Genomic DNA, 6512 nt, shown 5'->3' on the forward strand with positions numbered 1-6512 from the left:
GCTTTAAAATAAATCTTGGTATCTGGTAATTCAGTCTTTCAAATATTTTAATTTTCTTCCATTTTCTTGGACATTTAAGGCGCTTTACATTGCCATATAAATTTTTGGATTTACTTGTTAATTTTCACAAAATCATTTATTTGGGTTTTTATTAGGAATATATTGAACATAGGTAGTTTTGGGGAAGCACTGCTATCTTCACAATATTGAACCTTTTTATGTGAAAGTAATGCATAGTCTTCCACCCACTGAGATCTTTGTTAATTTCTCTCAATATTTTATATTATTCTACATTGAAGACTTGCTTATCTACTGTTAAATTTATTCCTAGGCATTGAAGTTTTTTCATTTTGATGCTAATTAAAATGGTATTATTTAAAAAAATTGTATTATTTGCTTCTTTGTTGCAAGTGTGAAATGCAATTGATTTTTGAAAATTAATATGTAACTTTTGGCTTTACAATAGTTAACAAATTTATTCTATAAGTCTATCTATGGAGTCTTTGTATTTTATATGTATAAAATAATGTCCCTTGGAAATAAAGATTGTGTTATTTCTTTCTTTCCAATATTTATACCTTTTATTAATTATTTTGCCTCACTGCATTCTGTTAGGATCCAATAAAACATCTTTAGTAAGAGTGGCAACAGATGGCATCCTTGACTTATACTTGCTACCAGGAGGAAAGCATTCAATATTTTCCCATTAAAGCAGGTCGTTTGCTGTAGGATTTTGTATGTATCCATCTATTCTTCATTTGTAGGTGCCTTTTAAAAAATCATGGATGGATGTTGAATTTTATCACGATTTTTCTGCCTCTGTTTGAGAAGATCCTATGATTTTTCTCCTCTATTTTGCCTAGGTGGTGAATTGCACTCACTGATTTTTACATGTGTTGTCTTCTTGGAATAATTCTCGCCTGACCATAATGCCATGCCTTAGTGTGTGTGTGTGTGTGTGTGTGTGTGTGTGTGTGTGTGTTTTCTGAGTCAGGTCTCATTCTGTTGCTCAGGCTGTAGTGCAGTGACTTGATCATAGTTCACTGCAGTGTTGAACTCCTGGGCTCTTGCTTTGACCTCCCAAAATGCTGGCATTACAGACTTGAGCCACCATGCCCAGCTATAATTTATATATATGTATCACTAGATTTTATTTGCTAATATTTTGTTTACGAGTTTTGTGTCTATATAAATCAGAGTAGACTTTGCTTAGGTCCTTTATTATAATTTCCTCACTGGATTTTGCTATCAAAGTTACGATAACCTCAAAACATGAGTTAGAAATCTTTTTTTTCTGTGCTCTGGAATAATATATGTAAAATTGATGTTATTTCTAAATGTTTAGAAGAATTCACATAAAATCATTAGGCCTGGAAATTTGTTTTCAAAGGGTTGTAGTTACAGATTTCATTTCTTTTACTAGATATTAACTATTTGTATTATATATTTCTTCATGTGGCAGTATAGTATATAAATTATGGCTTTTTAAATTATTTCACCATTTTATTGAAATCATTGCTCTAAAACTGTTATGATATCTTTTTGTTAGCATTTTATTACCTGAGGGATTTGTAGTTAAGCCCCTTCTTTAAAAAAATCTTGATACTTGGATTTTGTGCCCTCTTTCTTTTTTTCTCTATTTTTCTAGAGATTCATTGAATTTATTAGTCTTTAAAAGAATGAACTTGTAGATTTATTTTCTCTTTTATATATTTGTTTTATCTTTCATTGACTTCTGCTTGATTTTTCTTCTTTCTTGCTGCTTACCTCGAGTTTCATTCATTTCACCTTTCCACCTCTACTATATGCATTTAAATATGACCTTAATTGTAATATTAAAGTTTTTATAAGTTGAATTTTCATTATCATTCAAATAACAGTATTTCCTAATTTTCATTTGTACTCACATTTTAGCTTGTGATTTATTTAGAAGTATATTGAGTACTTTTCAAACATATAAAGGTTTTAACATTATCTTTTTGTTACTGATTTCTAGCCTAATTGTGCCTTTTATCAGAAAATATACTCTGTATAGTTTCAGTCTTATTATATTTGTTATATTTGCTTTATATCTACCATTGGGTTAATTGAGGTTGTTCATATGATGTGAATTCTGCATTTGCTGAGTATAAGGAATATGAATTAGGTCAAGTTTATTGATTGCCTTGTTCAAGTGTACTATATTCACATTGAATTTTTGTTTGCTTGTTGTATCACAGAGAGGTTTGTTAAAATCTTCTACTATGATAATAAATTTGTCCATTTTCCCTTTCGTCATGTCATTGTTTTGCTTCACATATTTGAGACTAAAACTGCAACAAATTCAGAATTGTAATGTTTTAGAAAGATTGACACTTTTATTATGAAATTACCTCTCTTTGTTGCCAATAATGTTTCTTGCCTTAAAGTCTAATCTGGTAAGTGCTCAGTGCATTTACATATTATTATCATCAAATTTGGGGTTTTAAATTTGCTCTCTTACTCTTTGTTTTCTACTTATCTATTCATTCTATATGTCTTTTCTGTACTTTTTGGCATTTTTTTGGATAATATTTCTTCATTCCATTTTTTCCTGTTTTATCTTGCTAATTTTGTTGTTATTTTTTAGTCACTATTCCAAAGATGATGGTGAGCATTCTTGATTGATTAAAGTCTAATGTTAATTAGTACTTTTACCACCTTCAAGAAGATGCAAAGATTTTAGAACACTTGAATTCAATTTATATCTCTCCATGCTTTATCCCATTATTGTCAGGAATTTTGACTCTACCTATATTTCAAATCCTGTTAGGTGATTACTATTGTTATTGTAAATCTTTGATATGTACATAGGTTTACCCACACATTTGCTCTTTCTATTGCTCTTGGTTTCTTTGTGCAGTTCTGGCTCTCACCTGGGATTGCCTTTGCACTTTTGGAATCACTCCTTTTAGCATTTCCCTTAGTTCATGTTGGTGGGTTACAAATCATCATAGTTTCAGTTTGTCTGAAAATATTATTGTGTCATCAAGATGATGGATATTTTTATTGCATAAAGAACTCTAAATTAGCAGTTATTTTCTTTTACAATTTTGAAGATGTTGTTCCATTTCCTTTGGGTTCCATTGCTGTTGTTGAAAAGGCTGTCTTCAATCTTATTGTTGCACACTTAAAAGTTTTTGCCTCCGAACAGATTTTAAGTTTTGTTTTTGTTTTTTCTTTAGAGATGGAGGTCTCACTATGTTGCTTAGGCTGGTCTCAAACTCCTGGCTGAAAGCAATCCTATCATCTCAGCTTCTCGTGTAACATAATTTTAAAATTTCTTTCTTCATTTTTTTATTTCATATATTGGACCTTGGTAGAGTTTTTGTTGTTGTTTCTATTCTCTTTGGGATTCATAGTGCTTCTTGAGTCTATGTCTTTTTTTATTATGATTTTTTAAAAAATGTATTGCCCTTTAAAATATCGTTTCTTCCAAATTCTTCCTCTTGTTTCTTTCCAGAGCAACATTATAGGCATGTTAAAACTTTGCCCTATGTCTTTCATGACTTTTGTGTGATTTTATATAATTTTTATCTTTTTTTTGTTGCCATTATTCAATCTGGTATTTCTTTTTTTTCTTTTTCTTTTTTTTTTGAGACTGAGTTTTGCGCTTGTCACCCAGGCTGGAGTGCAATGGTGTGATCTTAGCTCATTGCAACCTCTACCTCCTGGGATCAAGCGATTCTCCTGCCTTGGCCTCCCTGGTAGCTGGGATTACAGGCACCCACCACTATGTCCAGCTAATTTTTGTATTTTTAGTAAAGACAGGGTTTCACCATGTTGGCCAGGCTGGTCTTGAACTCCTGACCTCAGGTGATCCACCTGCCTTGGCCTCCCAAAGTGCTGGGATTACAGGTGTGAGCCACCATGCCCAGCCCAATCTGCTACTTTCTACTGACCTATATTTCAATTCCATCATCCTCTGTGTCTAATCTTCTATTAGTCTTCATCAGTTAAGTAACTTTAGTTGTTTTATTTTTCAGTTTCAGAATTTCTATTTTATTAAAAAAATTCTCTAGTGTAAATTTTCTATATTTTGTGTACTCTCTTCAAACATTGATTACAGCTATTTTAAAACCAATCAATTCTGAATGCCCTTGTGCATTTGTTTCTATTTTCTGTTTATTTTCATGGTCTGTTTTTCTAGACTTATCTTCAGACATGGCTTTTAATAGTTATTGAAATTTGGACATTGTGTTTAAAAAGTTTGAGAGTCAATTCATTGATCTGGTTAGTGTTATCGTCCTCCAGAGAGTATTTACTTTTGCTTGATGTGTGTGAGGAGGTCGTTATGACGATGGCAAATCTCCTATCTATTCAGTGATTGTCTACCTAATTCAGCAATTTAGGTGATTTGAAATTGGGCTCCCACTTTGTGATGGTACAATATTTTTAGCACATGCTGTCTCCTAGGGTGTAGCCCTTCAGGGGTCCTAACTGAAAATTTGAGGTAATTATAAGGGCACCACCTCCTTGGTGGTCTCTGTTTGCTTCTTAAACTAGATTTCCTTAACTTCTGAGCATCTTAGCCACTGTATTTCACCTGTTTCTTCACCTCTCAGTGTCCAGTTTCAAATCAGCAGTGCCTTGAGTAAAAAGTACTCAGGAGTTGAAAATCAGATTCACTGATTTGTACTTCCTGTCTTCTGGGGATTTTATTTCTTCAAGGTGTCATTGCCTGGGCAGCTTTCTGAAGCCTTCAAACTTATAGGTTTTGCATTCTGTTCATTTTTGTAAGCTGCTCTCAGCAGGAGGGTTTGTCAGCAACAATCTTCTCTACAACTAATAAAGCTTGAAATATCTCTAGCATGAGTTATTTTGAAGCAGATAGCATTTTAACTCATATGGCAGAAAGAACGCACATCTGCTGAAATTGAAGAGTTTCCTGATGCAGAGGCCTTCTCTTCAAACTAAGAAACAAAGTTGGAAGCACTTAGAACATTATGTTTGGAGTAAGAAATGTGAATACTGATGAAAACAGAACTGCAAAAATTTCGCCTAAAATAATGAGTGTTTTAGCACTGTAAAGAATACCAGGAATCACCCCAAATTACCAAAGTTATCATTCTACTTAGGGACCTTAAAATAGAAAGAACCCAGGGCCAGTATCATTTTGATGCCTTTTAAAATTTCTTTTTGAAATAGTGAAATGTCACAATGGATTTTAAAAATAGGGGAATGTTGAAAATGTTGATATTTAATAAATTAGTACTTTTTAATTGACCAATTTCTATATAATATTAACATGCTGTCTACATCAGGAGTTCTCAACCCCTGGGCCACAGACCAGCAGTGGTTCGTGGCCTGTTAGGAACTGGGCTGTACAGAAGGAGCGGAGCAGTGCACGAGTGGGCCAGCAAAGTTTCGTCTATATTTACAGCTGCTCCCCATCACTTGCATTACTGCCTGAGCTCCACCTCCTGTTAGATCAGCAGCGGCATTAGATTCTCATGGGAGCATGAACCTTATTGTTGAATTGTCCATGCTAGGGATCTAGGTTGCAGTGTTCCTTATGAGAATCTAATGTCTGATGATCTATCATTGTCTTCCATCACCCCCAAATGGGACCATCTAGTTGCAGAAAAACAACCTCAGGGCTTCCACTGATTCTACATTATGATGAGTTGTATAATTATTTCATTATATATTATCATGTAATAACAATTGAAATAAAGTGCGCAATAAATGTAATGTGCTTGAATCATCCAGAAAACATCCCCACCCCTGTCTGTGGAAAAATTGTCTTCCATGAAACCTTTCCCTGGTGCCAAAAAAGGTTGGGGACCACCGATTTACATAATTAGAAAGTTTATAAAATCCTAATTTATAGAGTGGTCATCAAATGGTAGGAAAGTTCAAGCAGTTTGAGGAACTGATGTTTTTTTTTCTCAATACTTGCAGTGCATCTCTATGACTGTATGGGCAGCTTCTTCTGGAGATAATGTTGACAGTCTAAAAAGTTAAGCTGTGACGATTTACTCCCCTCCCCTGCCCCTATAGCACACTCTGATTTTAAATATTTTCTCTCTTAATTCTAATTAAATGACATAATTATAGTGCCATATCCCAGTCAATGCCATTTATCAGTGACAGCTAATTAACACAATTATAAAAGTGGGAGCCCTAAGTTACCAGTGAGGTATAGAGCAACTCTGGAAATTTTCTCCTTACTGAAAGGAAATATTACACATATTCCTTCACCAGAAGAACAATACACAGTTTACCTTCCCTTTTTGTTTTTGATAATACCACTTTGTTCCCCATTCTCTACAAAATTTAGTTTGAAGAACATTTTAAAAACTTGATTCATCGTAGTCATCAATCCTTCATAAATATTTCTTGACAATTGGCCTCTCTGTAGTTTGCAACCTGGACTACTCATGTTTAAGAGCTTGGTTTTTCAAGACTATTGTGTTTCAAATGGTTTTGAGGTTTTATGGTCTGTTGACATTCTGAGGAACTTAGAACACATTCACTTCCTTTTGCTTGGT

The 6512-nt window shown here is 33.6% G+C and overlaps 1 annotated feature.

The window, feature by feature from the left end:
* Positions 4516–4575: an enhancer, noted in NCBI's record as "active region_25859". NCBI's record gives its function as "activates an Ori minimal core promoter by ATAC-STARR-seq in GM12878 lymphoblastoid cells {active_cell/tissue: GM12878}" and the evidence as "EXISTENCE:reporter gene assay evidence [ECO:0000049][PMID:35858748]".

The sequence above is a fragment of the Homo sapiens genome, chromosome 7 (assembly GCF_000001405.40).
Source record: "Homo sapiens chromosome 7, GRCh38.p14 Primary Assembly".
In the NCBI taxonomy this organism is placed as follows: Eukaryota; Metazoa; Chordata; class Mammalia; order Primates; family Hominidae; genus Homo; species Homo sapiens.